This window comes from Homo sapiens, chromosome 1 (genome assembly GCF_000001405.40).
Source record: "Homo sapiens chromosome 1, GRCh38.p14 Primary Assembly".
NCBI classification, from domain to species: domain Eukaryota; kingdom Metazoa; phylum Chordata; class Mammalia; order Primates; family Hominidae; genus Homo; species Homo sapiens.
This window is the reverse complement of record NC_000001.11, coordinates 204,364,103-204,380,797: the sequence shown is the minus strand read 5'-3', so window position 1 is coordinate 204,380,797 and position 16,695 is coordinate 204,364,103. Positions and strand designations below refer to the sequence as shown.

Genomic DNA, 16,695 nt, shown 5'->3' with positions numbered 1-16,695 from the left:
ACAAGACAAAAATCTCGTGGAAAAATAGATCAAGAGGCGCTCGAAGAAGACAGTAGTGTAATACATGTTTTCAAATATATGTCATCTTGTCCCCTGTTTCTGCCCACGTTCAGCACAAGCAGCTGCCCTTACTGGTTGCTCAGGTTGGACTGGGAGTGCACTGATTGCTGGTATTTTCCCTTGAGGCATCTTGGCAGCAACTCTGGCCGTTTATATTCTTGGCCATCTCAGGGGCTAGGCAGGTGGCTCTGTGCTTTGTCAGTGGCGTGAGTCCTACAGGTGTTTCATATGGCTGGTGACAGGGGACTGCAGCCTGGCAGAGTCTGCTACCTTGATCTGCCAACTTTCTCCAATTCAGAAACGAAGGGGCACCTAGACCTTCATCTGTGCTTCCCAGGTGCAGCTCTGCTTCATTGTCAAATGAAGCTTTCTCTACTAGAAATTTGTAGGATCTGAGAAGAGAGAAAGAATTTGGACATCATGGGTTTCTGCGTGTCTTCTGCTTCTGGAGAATGGACTTAACTTAGATCTGGCAGCCAGGATGTTGGCAGAGTCCATTTCCAGTGTTGGAGTGCGAAGGATGTAATGAAAACAGCTCTGGCCTGAGACACTGGTGGGCAGATCCTTTTCAGCCACCACCCTTCTCAGTGACCTTGACCAGCCCCTTTCCCTTCTCTGTTCCTCACTTGCCATATTCAAAACAAGAGGATTGGACTAAATGTTCTCTGAGGCATCTCCTAGCTTTACCATCTATCAGATGTATACACTTTAAACCCTCCAGGTTGAGAATTTGGGATCTATGAGAAGGATCACAGGCTGTTTCTTTTCCCAGGAAGATCTCCCCACACACACCCTGATGTTGCTGATGGTTATATTGAGAGTGCCTCTAAATAAAGTCCAAAAGTACGGGATTGTGGTTAGAGTTAAGAGTAGTTCTCAGTTATGACCATATCAAGCATTCATCAAATGTTAATTGGTCTGGGCGCAGTGGCTCATGCCTGTTATACCAGCACTTTGGGAAACTGAGGCCGGTGGATCAGATCACTTTAGGTCAGGAATTTGAGACCAGTCTGGCCAACATGGTGAAACCCCGTCTCTACTGAAAATACAAAAAAAATTAGCCAGGCATGGTAGTGAGTGCCTGCAGCCCCAGCTACTCAGGAGGCTGAGGTGAGAGGATCACTTGAACTTGGGAGGTGGAGGTTGCAGTGAGCCGAGATCATGCCACTGCACTCCAGCCTGGGTGATAGAGCGAGACTCCATCTCAAAAAAAAAAAAAAAAAATTGTTAATTGGTGCCGCAGGCAGCTGCCAGGGCTGTAAAGATGGATAAGATGGAGTTCCTGCCCCAAGGAGCACACAGTCCAATGGAGGAGACAGATGACTAAATCAAGGATTGCATTACAGTGTGATAAGTGCTACTATAGGGTTATTCATCAGGTGCCATGACACATGGAGGATGGACATATAAATCTCTCCGGGGTAGTGTCAGGAATGGCTTCCTGGAGGAGGTGGCACATGGGTAGACACTGAAAGGATGAGTAGGAATTACCTATGTGGAATGGGGATCAAGTCTCCTGGAATGCTCACAAAACGTATGTTTGCCCAACAGATAATTGCCAGCTGTCATGGAACACATTGCTCCCTTTAAACACAGGTGTCTCTCTCATCGTCTAATTATTCTCCTGGGCCTGGCACATGGATTGGAACTGTATGTACCTAACTGGAGCCCCAGTGGCAGATCCGGAGTAAGCTGGGAAAGCCAAATGGACTTCAGCATTTTTTCTTTCTTGAGACAGGGTCTCGCTCTGTTGCCCAGGCTGGAGTACACTGGCAGGATCATAGGTCACCGCAGCCTCGACCTCCCGGCTCAAAGTGATCCTCCTGACAGTGTTCTGAGTTGCTGGGACTACAGGCTCGTGCCACCAGATCCAGCTAATTAATTATTATTATTATTTGTAGTGACAGGGTCTTGCTATGTTGCCTAAGCTGGCTAACTTTGATATAGACCCTGAGATAGCAGAACTGTGGGCTCCAGCAATACTGCTTTTGGTATGCCAGTATGAAATGCTTGCAGTCTGCATTCTGTACACATAACACATTCCCTTCTCTCTCCATTTTTCTTCCTTTTTCCTTTTCCATTTCTGGTGCAAGTTAGGGGGAATGGAATGGAGGGACATAAACGCTGTTGGTTTCTGAGTATTTCTAAGGTCTCCCTGTGATTCTACTTAGTCATGGCAGACTTCTTGGAGGAGGTGCTGGGAAAGAAAGGTAAGGACTAGCTCGACTAATCAGGCTGGCATCTGAGCTAGGAGAGGCTCCCCGGGCCCCTCGCTGCTCACAGCCCCGCCACGCTTCCGTGCCTTTGACCTTTGTTCCTCTCCTAACCTCCCACCAAGTAGAACCAGGTTTAATCACTTCCCCTTTTCCGTTCAGTGGCTGGACATGTCCACCAGGTTCCTGATTCAAAGCTCTTTTAGTCAAACTGGTTCTCTGCGCGGTGCGCCTGGACTGGGGGACTTGGCGCTGCCGGCGAGTTCTCGGGGCTGTGAATTACCTTCCGAGGCGGCGGCGCGGCTCCGCCCCCGGCCCCGCCGGTGGTTCAAGTGCAAGATCGGAGCTGGGAGCGGAGAGGCAACACCCCTGCTCGCACTGCAACCTGCTCCCTTCGGGGAGGGATCCTCCCCGCTCCAGCTTCTGCTCTCCGGGCTCCGCCAGGCTGGAGGGCAGCAGAGCCAGGAGGAACGGAGACCCAGCGCTGCCCGTTAACAGTCCCGGCAGGAGAGGCATCGTAATTACTCACCGCGCTAATTGCCCGTCATTAAAGTTCAGGAAACGGTCCGAAGAGGAGCTCCCGAGTCGACGAGGAGGCAGGTGGTGTCTGGGGCTCCCGGCCGGCCAGGGTTAAGCGCTTGCCTGCTCCCTGCCGCCCGGCTTGAGGCCAGCGCGTCTTCAGTGGGGAGGCCAGCCACACTGCCAGGGACCCGGGAGCGACGCCGCCAGCCCGGCCGGACCCCCTCCCCCACCACGGCCTCTGGAAGGGGGCAGCAAGTGGGGGTTCCCGGGTACCAAGCCCCCTGCCCAGCCGGCGCCTGGGGGCGCAGAGAGCGAGAGGGGCTGCAGGGACACCGAGATGGCCGATGAGATTGACTGGCTGGACCTGCCCGGCCGGTGGGCCTACGGAGTTGACGGCGGTGGGAGAATCTTCTTCATCAAGTATGTTGGTCTCGCTCTTCTTTTTATTTCATTTTTTTCCATTAAGTTGCCCAACTTGAAAAGTGGCGGGGCTGGGGGCAGGCCGGAGAAGGTGGGTGAAGCGGTGGCTACAAGGGCGGGCATGACTAATAAGTTTATCACCATGCCTGTTTGAATGTGTCTCCCGCCTTTTCCTCAATGGGTCAAAGTCCAGCAAAGGCTTGGCATTCCCTCAGCTTGGAAAGGCTGGGCAGGGCAGGGGAGTGCTGCCCTTTCTCCCTCTCCCTGGTCACATGCGAGGCCTCCAGGAGGATGACTAGACCAATGCCCAGCCTGGAGTTTTTTCAGCTCCTTCCCTGAAAGGGCCAGAGGTAGGTCTTTCATTTTCCCCGAGACTTTCCTATGGGAAGACTTGGGCTAAGTGACAACATACCAGGAGATCCTGCCTCTACCACTCAGTTCCTGGCAACCCTCGCCCCAGACTCAGCGTGCCCAGGACAGCAGTTCTCCTCTCCTGTCCTGCTTCTTTATGGGGCTGTGGTCAAGAGGGAGGGGGACGATGCCCACTGTATGTTTGGCATTCTTGAGAGAGAGCGCGCCTTTGCTACTCTCAGTAATATATTAGCACTGTTATATTAATTTCATAAGCCAAAGTGGCTCTGGCATAATCTCATTATAACAAAGTGGCCCTGCTGGCTGTCTTTTGGCTCGCTTCTACTATAGTCATCTTTTGCCAGGATAGACATCTTCCAGAAATATAGCAAGTCTAGAAGCACAGCGTCTTGGACTGTTACCCACACTTGACGAGCTTTTCCTTCCTCAAGATAGCCACTTAAAAACATCGGAGCTACAAGGAATCTTAGAAACAACCCCTTCATTTGTCAAATGGGGAACTGAGGTCCAGAGATATTGAAGTACCGGTCTAAGAGAAAACCACGTGTTAATCAGAGCTGGGACTCAGCCCCGCATCTGCTGACTTAGTGCACTGCTTCCCCAGGTACCAAACTGCCTTTGCAGGGGCTCAGGCAGGCAGTAGTTTCTCTTTGGTGTTTCTAAGTTTCCACATTTGCTTTAGGCCTTTGTTCTGTAATTATCACCACCATGATCATAATTGATGTTGTAATTATATTATCTTAGAAATTAACTCCATTAAAGTTCTTGACCCTAAGTCAGATTCTTAAATAACAGAACCTCTGCAATATTAAAACTGCAGTGGCTAGAGACATTAGAGTTTATAAGAATCACCCAAGGAACTTATTAAGAAGGTGGATTCCTGAGCCCTACCTCAGGAGATTCCTATTCAGAGGATCTGGGGTAGGGTCTTAGAATGTGAATTTCCATGAGCCCCTCAGGTATACTGATGAAGTGGTTCATTCTCTTCTTTCTTCCTGATCTCTTACTTGCCATCCAGATTCTTTTCCTCTTTCATTCTACAAACATTTATTGGGCATCCACTCTTTGCTGCAGTGCTAGGCACTGGAGATAAAAACAATAAGATATAGGTTTTTACTTTAAGTTAACAGGGAGAATACATAAATCAATACTTAGGAAATAATATGGTACATTCTTGAGGCATTTGCATGATGCTATGGGAAGGAAAGAACTAATGCTCTCCAGGGAGTTCAGTGAGGGCTTCCCAGAGGAGGAAGCATTTGAGCTGATTCTGGAGGAGAGACAAGAGTGAAAGAAGCCTTGGAAGTAGAGGCTTGGGGAAATAAAGGCACCAGTGGGGGCTGAGGAACAGGTAACCTAGAGCACTCGGAGAGGTTCAGTGGAGACGGAGTGGAGCTGCTGAAATACTGTAGAGGACCAGGAGAAAAAGTAGGAAGAGGCAGCTTGAGAGAGCCCTTATGTGCTAAGCTAAGGGGTCGGGACTCCATCCTATAGGTGATGGGAAGCCAAAGGAGATTTCAAACTGGGACTTGACATCATCGAGTCTGTGTTTAGAGCCTTGTCTCTGGCAGCTTCCTGAGCGATGATTTGAGGCTGAGCGAGAGGCAGGAGGAGAAACTTAAGGTATGGAAAGCAGTTAGGAAACAATTGCAAAAGTCCAGGAGACAGCTGATGGGGCCCGAATTAAAATGGTGAGAATAGAAGTGAAGGGGAGGGAGAGATGGGAGAAATCTTCAGGAACCAAATCAGGAATATTCTTCTAATGCTTGAATTCTGGGGAGGGGAGACAAAGGGAGGAATCAGAGGTGAAGCTTAGAATTTCCAGCTTGAGTTGACAGAGGTCAGGAGTATGGCAAGGGGAGTGCATATTAGGGGGAGTACAGGGTTAGTGGGGAAACACTGCAGTTGAGGTTCCCGGGGGACATTCAGGAGATGCTGTCTAACAGACAACTGGATATACAGGATAGAGTTTGAAGAGAGAGGCCTGGGCTGGAAAAGGGTCATCGTGTGGGGGTAGAACGACCCAGAAGAGTGCGAGGGAAAAGACAGGAGTATACCCCAGGCAGCACCAGTGTCAAGGAAGGGACAGAGGAACAGAGGCCAGGCTGGAGAGTAAGACCGAGAGGTTGCAGAGGTGGGCAGCACCAGGACCAGGGTAGAATGCCACCCCAGAAGGCAAGGAAGAGGGATGTTAAGAAGAAAAAAGGAAGGAATTCAACAGTATTGGATGCAGCAGAAAAGCCAAACGGGCCAAAGGCTAAAAAATGCCTAGTGGATTTAGGAGAGGGGGAGGCCTCTAATGACGTCTAGGAAAGTGGTTTCAGGAGAGAGCTGGGAACAGAAACCAGGTTGCAGTGGATTGGTGAATGAAAGGCCAGAAAGTGGGGAAAGCTAGGAGTGACTACTGTTGAATGTTTGGTCAGGAATGAGGAGTGCGAGACATGAAGCTGCCAGGGGACATGGCATTGAGTGGGAGGCAGCGTGTTTAGACTATAGAAGACACAGACAGAGGAGGAGGATAAAGGGATGGACCCTATAAAGAGAGAGGAGGTGAAGATGCAAGGCTGGGATGCTCAACAGAAGGAGGTTCTATAAAAGATGGAAGAGGAGGGGGACGATAACCCAGGCAGAGAGATTAGCCTTAAAGGGGAGAGAGGGCTACCTCTTCTCCAGAGGAAGACAAGTATTAAAGGATGGGTGAGAATCTGGGTAAGTTTTGGTGGTGAGGTGATTGGGCATACTGGGAAAGCTCCCACCTAATCTTTTCTATTTTTTCTTCATTAAGACATAAGATCCTCTGTGCCGGAGAGGGGCTAGGTAGCAGAGGCAGCCCTGGGACCTGAGGTTAGCCGGAAAGGCTTGGAGCACTCTGCAGATGGCAACTGACTGGGGACCTTGAAGAAGATTCTAGGTGGCACTCAGGGCTCAGCTAAGCTGGGAGACTGGATTTGCAGTGACCCCAGTTCTTCGAGGCCCAGTTCCCCCATCAGCCCGGTGCTGGAGTGGAGACAGCCTGTGACTGCGTTGTCCCAGACAGTGGTGCTGACAAGGGTGCAAGATGGTGCCAAGCCAAGGGGAAGAGGAAGTTGAGGGCTGTGGTGGAATGTCAAGGGTGTGATAGGGTTGTCTGTGATATCCAGTGGGGTAGAGATAGATGGGAATCTGAGGGGGCGGACAGTGTGCAAGGAGGGGAGAGTCAGGGGCTGAAAAATCTCAGGACAGATGTAATGGAGGTGAGGGCACTGGCTGACTTTCTCTCCAAACCCTTCCTTTTTATTGGCTTCCTCTTCCACTGCCTCCCAGGACCAAAGCCAAGACCAGAGACCCAGTATGTTAGAGTCTTCTTCAATGGTGCCTGAGCTCAGAAGTCACTAGAACAGTGACTTTGTTTTTTCTCTGCTTATCAGAGGGGTAGGTTAGCTGGGAGATCTCTTCCTGTAGCAGGTGTCCAACCTTAGAGAAAATGAGTGGAGTCAATAGAAAAAAAAGCATATTTTCACACCAACACTAGTACACAAATGTTCATAGTAGCTTTCTTTGTAATGGCCCAGAACTGAAAACAACCCGTAAGTTCAGCAACAGGTGAATGAATGAACACACTGTGGTGTTTCCTACAATGGAATACTATTCAGCAATTAAATGGAATCAAACGACCACACACCACAATATGGAAAAAAGCACGAAAGTCAGACAGCTGGGTGCTGTGGTTCACACTGTAATCCCAGTGCTTTGGGAGGCCAAGGCAGGAGGATCACTTGAGGTCAGGAGTTTGTAACCAACCTGGGCAACATAGTAAGACCTTGTCTCTGCAAAAAAAAAATAGCCAGAGACCAGGTGCAGTGGCTCACGCCTGTAATCCCAGCACTTTGGGAGGCTGAGGCACTTGAGGTCAGGAGTTTGAGATCAGCCTGGCCAACATGGTGAAACTCCGTCTCTACTGAAAATACACGAAAAATTAGCCAGGCGTGGTGTTGCATGCCTGTAACTCTAGCTACTTGGGTGGCTGAGGTGGGAGGATTGCTTGAACCCAGGCAGAGATTTCAGTGAGGCAAGATCGTGCCACTGCACACTCCAGCCTGGGTGACGGAGTGATACTCTATCTCAAAAAAAAAAAAAAAAAAAAAGAAAGAAAAAATATAGCCAGACATGGTGGTACATGCCTGTAGTCCTAGCACTCAGGGGGCTGAGGTGGGAGGATTGCTTGAGCCCAGAAGTTTGAGGCTACAAATGAGCTATGATTGTGCCACTGCACTCCAGTCTGGATGGCAGAGTGAGACCGTCAAAAAAAAAAAAAAAAGTTTTTCAGGGAAAGATGTATGATTGTATGATTGCATGACTGTATTGTATGATTGTATGATTCCTTTTATATAAAACTCTGGAAAATGCAACTAATCTATGGTAACAGAAAACAAATCAGTTGCTGGGGAGAGGGGTGAGGATAGAAAGAGCTTGGGGTTGGGGGTGGGAAGGAGGAATTACAAAGGGTCACACAGAAAGTTTGGGAATTCATTATCTTGATTTCGGTGGCAGTTTCACAGGTGTATAGATAAGTCAAAACTATTAAATTGTAAATTTTTTAGGGCGTTTATTCGATATCTCATTTTAATAAAAGTTTAATGGAGTCTTTCTTAGTGGAGTTTATTCTACATCCATTATACCTTAAAGACATTGAGTAGAGTCTTGTCCTGGGCTCCAAGATGCCATCCTAAAGCCTGGGTGATCCACGTGACCTGAGAGTCCCTTCCTCCACATACCTGAAGTAGCCAAGACAGTCAGATGCTTCTTGCTGGATCACATCTGGCTCTGGAAGTCTGTGTCACTTGGTCGGTGGGGATTGAGAAATGATGATGGCTTCATCTGCCATCCAATCTAGAGCCCAGAGGGTCTGTGTTGCTGGGGAGCCTGCCTTGCTGGGTGTGAGGTATCAGAAAGAGTTTTGTCGGGGACAGATCTAGGTCTGAATCTAGGTCTGAATCTAGGGACAGATCTAGGTTGTGACTTTGGCCAAATTTCTTAACTTCTCTGAACCTCGATTCATAATCTGTAAAATTTCCAGTGTGAGGGAATGTCGTGAATGAAAAATATGTAGCATTGTTGACACATAAGGACTATGGGTTCATGCAGTCTCCTCCTTTTCTTATCCATTCGAGAAGCTGCCAGTTAAGGACCTTCCTTGTTTTTCCCACCTGACTTTAGCAATCATCTCTAACATTGCCTCTGCCGTGAAGCCTTCATGCTTCCCCTTCCTTAACCTCATGCCAGGTAGCCCTTGTTTCTTTGCGATGGTATCACACTTTCTACACATAGTTACAATAGGGATTACAGTGCCTATCATATTGTATTGCAGCTATCTTTTTATGCATTTGTTTCCCAGTGGGATGTAGATTCTTTGAGGTTAGGGATTCGATATTATTCATCCTGAAATCCTCAGAGTGTGCTTAGTAAATAATTCTCTGTGAATGTGAATGAATGAACAGCCTTGTGGATGCTCTCATCTCATGTGTCTGGGATTGAATAGTCGGTGTTAATGTGAATCTGGAGATGAGTGTCCTGCTCAGAAAAGCCTCTCTTGTAGCTGACACTTTCTTATTGATCTTTCTGCAGTGATGAGGAAAAGTCAACCAGCTGGGTGCACCCTGGAACAAAGTCACCCATCCAGAGTGGACACACCTCCTGCCCAGGTAAGGAACCTGTCTGTCCCTGCCTTTGCAATTGAGGAGGATGTAATAGCTTGAGGTGGCAGCAGGAATCCTGTGCCCCAACTTTGCTTCTGACTTTTTCCTTTCTCCATGGATGGACTCAGCTTAGCATTTGGACTGCCTGCCATCTGGGGGAGATTGCAGGCTTGTTGGAGCTCACCTCAGTGTCTCTCTAAGCTTCCACCTCCAAAATTAGTATCTGAGATGGGCCTTTGAGGACAAAGATTTTTACTCATCTTTCATCCCTCTGCCCAGTCAGAAAATCCCCTGTCTCAAGGGCTCTTGAACTGGCAGAAGCCAGCCCCCAGTGCTGCGCTCTAGAACTTTTATGTCGTGATGGAAGGGTTCTCTATCTGCTCTGCCCAATACAATTGCCATGAGCCACATGTGGCAATGAACAACTGAAATGTTACAAGCATCACTGAGGCCCTGAATTTTTTTTTTTTTTTTTTTTTTTTGAGGCAGAGTCTTACTCTGTCGCACAGGCTGGAGTGCAGTGGCACAATCTCGGCTCACTGCAACCTCTGCCTCCCGGGTTCAAGAGATTCTCGTGCCTCAGCCTCCCAAATAGCTGGGATTACATGTGTGTGCCACCACACCCAGCTAATTTTTGTATTGTTAGTAGAGATGGGGTTTTGCCATGTTGGCCAGGCTGGTCTCAAACTCCTGACCTCAGGTGATCCACCCACCTCGACTTCCCAAAGTGCTGGGATTATAGGTGTGAGCCACTGTGCCCAGATGGATTTTTAATCCTAATTAATTCAAATGTAAATGGCCCCATGTAGCTAGTGGGAGCGCCTGTTTCTCCCACTGAGGAGAAACATGAAAGGGGACAAGGCTGACATTCATTGCTGATTATGGAGAAAACATCACTGGTAGCCCTCAGGGCTAGTGGGAAAGGTGGGACACAAACAGGTCAGAAATGAAGAAACAACCAAGGAAAAAGACTTCAGTCTAAGTTGTTGAGGTAGAGACATCAAGAATCACAAGGCCTAGGTACTTTAACTGAACAGCCATTCATCCTCCTCATGACGCCACCACGGGCCAGTAAGAGGGGGTGTGGGTCACAGTGCGGGGAGATATCTCTCCCCTTCCCGCCTTCCAGCCCTTCCCCCTCTCGCCTTCCAGCGCTTCACCGGACTGGACACTAGGCGCCTGGTTCCAAGGCCTCCGTCAATCATGGGCACAGCTGGCACTGCTGGACACACAGGATGAAGCCTTTGGCTTGTTCAGAGTCCTTTTCTTTTTAGCTTCTGAGCTGGGATCATTTCTGGAAGAGACTTCAGGGATCATGGAGTTCGACTCTTCATTTTATGGTAGAAACATTGAAGAACAGAGAGGAAGTACCTGGCTCAAGGCCATTTGACTAATAAGCAAAGTGGTGTCATGGTTAAAGGCATACATTTTGGAGGCAGAGAGATCTGAGCTCAATCTTGGTTCTATTGCTTCCAGTGTGCTCTTGCACTAGGGGTTTAATTCTTCCTGGACTTAGCTTCTTCATCTTTATAATGGGGAGAGGATTATGAACCTCAAAAAAGTAGTAGCATTACATCAGAGAGGTGGCTCCCAAAATGGAGGTGGCTGCTGCTGTTATTGTCACCATTGTATTTCCAACTTGCAGCGAGGCCTCCTGACTCTAAGGCCAGGGCTGTTTTCTTCTACCAGGTTGATGGTGGTGTCACCTTCAGTGTTTCAGCTGTTTACAGGTTGAGTCCTTCCACCTCATTATCATCCTAGGTAGGAGTGGAAGATGAATACCAGCCTGTGAGCCAATGCTTTCATTTTTGGCTGCAGCCAACTGGTTGTCTAAGGCTGGGAAGGGGTTAAGATGCCCCCGGAGCTTGCCGCGAGGGCAGCTGCCTCAGCGGGCACTCCGCCTGGATGGGAATATAAGCACTCTTGGTGTTGCCCAGGCAGAGAGGGCAGTGTGGAGGGAAGTTGCTAGAAAAAGGCAGGGGACATAATCCATACTGGCCTCTTTCCCAGGCACATCACAGTGGCAGAATTATTTATGATTCTGACCCAATGGGGATCCCTCTACTTGGGGAGACTGCCAACCCACGCCCTCCTGAATGGCAACGTCCTCCCACAGAGACAGAGGGGAACAAGTAGCATTTATGGAGCGGCACAGAGGAAAGAGTGTGGGCTTTGGAGACAGCACAGCAGCACTCACATCCCGGCCCAGACACTTCCTGTGTGACCTTGAGCCAGTTGATGAACCTGTCTGGGCCTCTGTTTCCTCATCTGTTATCGGCGAAAATGTTTCGGAGGACACCTATTGTATAATGTTGCTATGCAGATTAAATGCACTAGCAGAGGCAAAGTGCATAGCTTAGAGGAAGGAAGTACTCGCTAAGTGGTAGCTGGTGTGATAGGTGGGCCAAGTCCTGGCAGGAGCTGGGCTTGCTGGCTGCCCTGTTTTGCTGAAACAGCAGCATCACCATCAGCAGCAACTGTGGAAATATAGACCCTTGATAAATACAGGTGAATAAAATGAATGATTAGAAACTGGACCTGCCACTCTGCAGAACCCAGGCACTGCTCCCCAGCAGCTGGTGCCTCAAAGCAGCTGCTAACATGGCAGGAGACAGTCAGACCAGCAGTGAATAGCTATGCTTCGTAAGACTTCATACACAAGGCAGGCGTGTGGACTGACCAGAAAGGTGGCAGTCACTGTCCATCAAGAGAATCCCCACCTGTTTTCCAATATGTCAGCCAGGAGGCTCGCACTCCCAAAAGGAATGTTCTCAGCCAGCTCCCTGACTGTCCCCACCTCTGACAGTGGACTCTCTTGGGTCTCTCAAAAGGCTCCTCCTCCTCAGCCATGGGGTGAAGGAATCCTGTTTGCCGGGGAGGCGGGATGCTGCCCAGGGTGGCTGTTTTGGGAGAGCGAGCAGGATGAGATAGTGCCTATGAGTGATCTTTGGAGATGGAGGTGCTATGGCCACCTGTGGGGACTGCCTGGGTGCCTCCTGGCCACTGTCAACTTCCTTGCTCACACTGAGATTCTGTGATTCTCCTCTGAGCATTTCCATGGATAATTTTTTTTTTTCAGAGACACTATTAAAGATTTTAAAAATTGCAAGTCTCTTCATTTTCCTGGGGCTGATTTCCTAGGTCCTTGGTTTCCTGTCCAGAAAGAGCACAGCCTGATGGCCATAACGCTGGCCTGGTATTTGGAGACTTGAGTCTTACTCGGATCTTAGGTGTTAATGATCTGTGATGAGTTCCTGGGGCAAGTGACCTGCCCTTCTGGTTAGATGATCCTGAGGACACTTCCAGGGGAACCATCTGTGTGTTCACTGTTGTATCCAGGGGCTGGCACAGGGCCTGGCGCATCGTAGATGCTCAGTAAAGATTTGTTGAATGAATAAGTGCATCCTGCCAGGCTATGATTCATTCGGTCACTTCACCGCTCATTGACGGAGGACATCCCGTCCACTCCCATATCTCTCATTATTTGCTGGGAATCTCACTGCTAGAAATCACGGACAAAAAAGGATGGAATGGTTGGTTTGAACTCGGCTGGCTTATATTTGGATTTTCCTGACTGTCCAGGCACCCATCCCTCCTAAGTGCAGGTGGGGTTTGTGGGAAGAGAGGAAGAGAGGTTGATCCCAGGGTATCTCATTCTGGTGATTTTGCTTCCTCACAGGTTTGCCCAAGGGCTGGGAAGTGGATTCCACCCAGGAAGGAGCTGTGTATTTCATCAAGTGAGTAAGACGCAGTTTCCTTTCTGATGTCGCTGTTGGTTCTACTTTCATCCTTGTCAGGAGGAGAGATGGTTAAAGTGTCTGGTTTTTCACTGAAGGCACTGCTGGGTCTGTGATTGGCTAGGAGGTGCCGAGGCTCCTGAGAGCTGAGATAGAGATGGGAACGTATGTATCAGTGCGTCTGTTTATGTTGGCCTGGGCAGTAACCAGTGTCAGTCCTGGTAAGTTTCCTGGGGTGGGGTGGGTGGAGTGTTGGGCTGGGCTGTACCGGTGGGAAGGAGATGGCTCAACAAAGTAGAGGAACGAGGCTGTTCTAGACACACAGGCAGAGGTTCAGAGGCAGGAGACGCAGCCGCGGGGCAGGATGTGGAGGCAGTGGGAAGGGAAGGTGTCCGTGGGGTGTACGAAGGAGGACATCAGACTGGTGGTGGCAAGGCCAGCTCCGGTCACTCTTGCTCTTGTGGATGGGGGCATCTGCGATTCTGGGGGTGGTTTGTGTGGGCGGAGATGCCCTATTTTCCTCCTAGGAGTTGGTCAGGCCCCTCTGTGGGCTGGGGAGCCCTTATTTCCTGCCGTGGCTAAAGGTGTGCCTTGGGAAGTTGCCCTGGACTTAATCTTGGAAGCAGAAGACAGAGCTCTTTGGGCTGGGGTGGTGCATGAGCTACCCAGTTGAACTCACTTCTCTCTGCCTTGGCCTGGGTCTCTCCATCTGGTTTCATTCGCAAGGGTGAGGCTCAGCGTGCCCAGGCCTGTGGGCCTCACCTTCTGGTCTGGCCTCAGATTCTGCAGGGATGGTGAAGCGCCTCTGCCCAGCCTCCTGGGGCAATGGCACCACCAGAGGGAGCCCCAGTCTAGCCAGGGCAGGGAGGACCCTTGTCTCATCCCCTTTCCGTCCCTCTCTGCTTTGAAATCCTCATCCATCTGTACTAGGAGGGGTTACGTTTCCAATCCCCCACCGCCAAGATCTGCCAGCACTTAGATCTGCCACCATCTACCACCTACATCAGCTTAGCCGCTAACCTATTTTTTCTTTTTTTTAAGATAGGGTCTCACTCTGTCACCCAGGCTGGAGTGCAGTGGTGCGATCTCAGTTCACTGCAATTTCCATCTCCGGGGTTCAAGAGATTCTCGTGCCTCTGCCTCCTGAGTAGCTGGGACTACAGGTGCCCACCACCATGCCTGGCTAATTTTTGTATTTTTGGTCAAGATGGGGTTTTGTCATGTTGGCCAGGCTGGTCTCGAACACCTGGCCTCCAGGGATCCATCCACCTTGGCCTCCCAAAGTGCTGGGATTACAGGCGTGAGCCACCATGCCTGGGCCTGTTAACCATATTCTTAAAGCGAAAGCAAATTTTTCTTTTCTTTCTTTTCTTCTTTTTCTTTTTCTTTTGTTCCTCCTCCTTCTCCTCCTCCTCTTTCTCCTCTTCTTCCTGCTCTTCCTCCTTCTTCGTCTTCCTTTCAAAGTATCTGTTCTGGAAATTATTCTAATATCACATGACAGTTATAGACTGAATTTTTCCTGTTTGGACCCAAATGCTTCTTGCTTCAGTTAAGAATTGTGAATTGTTTCTTCTTTTCTCCCTCTTGCAGATACCATCTTCATATTCCTTTTGGTACATGGCTCTAGAGATTGTTCACTAAACACTTTCACATGTATTACGGCATCTCACCAGTCCCTAGAAACGTACCTGTCCACCTCTCTGACCTCGTGTCCCATGACTGGCTGGCTGTGCTGCCATCTTTCCTTCCCACCATCATGTCAAACCCATTCCCACCTCAGAGCCTTGGCGCTTGCTGTTCCCCCTGCCTGGGAGCACTGTCCTCCCATTTCCACACACCTGGTTCCGACTTCTCGATTAGCCCATGTCACCTCCTCAGAGAGGCCATGCCTGACTGCTCTGCCTGAATTCCCCCACCCCTCCACACTCTTACTCTTACTTTTCTTCACAGCACCTGGCACTACCTGAAACACGTTTGTTTATGTATCTGTTTGGTTATGTATTTCTGGTCCCCCCACTGCTGTGTAAGTCCTGGGAGCAGATTCTGGCTATTGTGTTTTTCACTCCCTCCTAGAACCTTTCTGGTGCATGATAGCAATCCAGTATTTCCTGAAATGAATGCATGCATGATAAACATTGGGAGACAAACAACACAGGCATAATTGATTTCTGCTTCAGCTACCAGCCCAGAGCTTTCTTCTGAGCTCCCTCAATTCATTGTGTCCAGACTTGAAGTCATTGCTTCTCTGTGCCGGTTCCATCTTTTCTAGAAATACCAGCAAAGCAGAGCCCTCGGAGATACCCTCAACCTTTCCCGCTCTCATGCCTCCCCCATGGGTCCTGTCAATTCTCCTCCCAAATATCTCTCAACCCACCCACTTCTCGATATCTCCATAGCCATGGCCTGAGTTCAGGCCCACATGGACTCTCACTTCCATTATTGTAGAAGCTTTCCAACTGATCTTCCTGCCTCCAGGCCATAATGCTGCAAGAGTGCTTTCTTTCTAGAATTCAAATTTGGTCATATTATTCTCCATTAAAAACTTTGCATGTTACCCGTCACTTACAGGATAAAATCTAAATTCCCTATCTGGGCACGTAAAGGGCATCATAGTCTCGCTCCCGCCCCCCTTCCCAGCCTCACCTCCCACACTCCCCACCTGGCTCTTTAGCCCTCTCCTCTAGCCCTGCCAAATCACTTGTGGTTCCCTCAACATTCGCTTCCCTTTCATGCTTCCGGGGCTTTGTAGGTGCCAATCTCTCCTCATGTGGCTCATGCCCACCTGAGAACACTTGTTCTTCCTTCAAGCCCTGCCCATGATGTCACTTCTTCAGGGATGTGTCCGTGTATGGTAGTTATTTGCTTATACTTGTGTCATTTTCCACTAGATTAGTAACTCTCCAACTGGAGCGTGTATCACAATCACTGGAGGGTTTGTTGGAGCACAGATGGCTGGGCCCTACCCCTAGAGTTTCGGATTCAGAGGGTCTAGAATTTGCACTTCCAACACATTCTCAGGTTATGCTGCTGTGGCTGCTCTGGGGCCCACACTTCGAGAACCAGTAGCCTAGACTGAAAACTCATCAAGGGCAGGGGCAACACAGGGGGGTCGTAAAGTCCGGAGACACAGGCAATATTGTTTAATTATCAACCAGCCATGAATTCTGTGTTCACATACATTTCCAGACCTGGTGGTCATTCTGTATATCATAGCAGCAGCCGCCACTCTAGGAGCTAAGTGCTTTATGACATTATCTCATTTATTCCTCACCGCACCTTTATGAGGAGGTTCTATCATCCCGCTTTTAGCAAATAATGGGAAAACTGGTTCTTCGTATGTATTACTCAATGTCACAAAGCTTGTATTAATAGAAAGCAAGCGGGAAGGCGGCCTCATGTGTGCCTGATTTCACAGGCTTTGCTCTTAGCATGATGGCACGGCTGCTTCCCAGCATCCTTGGCACCTTGCTTGGACAAACGAAGTGCTCAGTAAGTTCTTGCTGAATGAGTGAGTGAATGAATGAACGACTGGCTCACCGTTCGTTCCTATTTTCACAGTTCCCACAAAGGTTTATGACATTTGGTTGGTGGATGAGTTAGAAACTCAAACGACTTCAGACATGGATTCCAAGTAATAATAAGAGCCAGACAACCGGAGGAGTTATTTTGTTTCTTTTAGTGTGGATGAGGGAGGGA

The 16,695-nt window shown here is 49.2% G+C and overlaps 1 protein-coding gene and 1 long non-coding RNA gene across 7 annotated transcripts in view; both read left to right on the top strand.

The window, feature by feature from the left end:
• Positions 1-2,629: 2,629 nt before the first annotated feature.
• Positions 2,630-16,695, top strand: part of PLEKHA6 (pleckstrin homology domain containing A6) — a 159,316-nt gene continuing 145,250 nt past the window's right edge. For all 6 annotated transcript variants that reach the window (XM_047449464.1, XM_047449463.1, XM_047449459.1 and 3 more), the window contains exons 1-3: positions 2,630-3,215; positions 9,192-9,268; positions 12,942-12,999. In XM_047449464.1, the coding sequence (XP_047305420.1) occupies positions 3,133-3,215; positions 9,192-9,268; positions 12,942-12,999 (218 nt within the window). In that variant the 5' untranslated portion in view covers positions 2,630-3,132. The remainder of the gene's footprint in view (positions 3,216-9,191; positions 9,269-12,941; positions 13,000-16,695) is intronic.
• Positions 11,079-12,368, top strand: LINC00628 (long intergenic non-protein coding RNA 628). Its single transcript, NR_027022.1, has one exon. It is a non-coding gene; the product is annotated as a long intergenic non-protein coding RNA 628 (long non-coding RNA).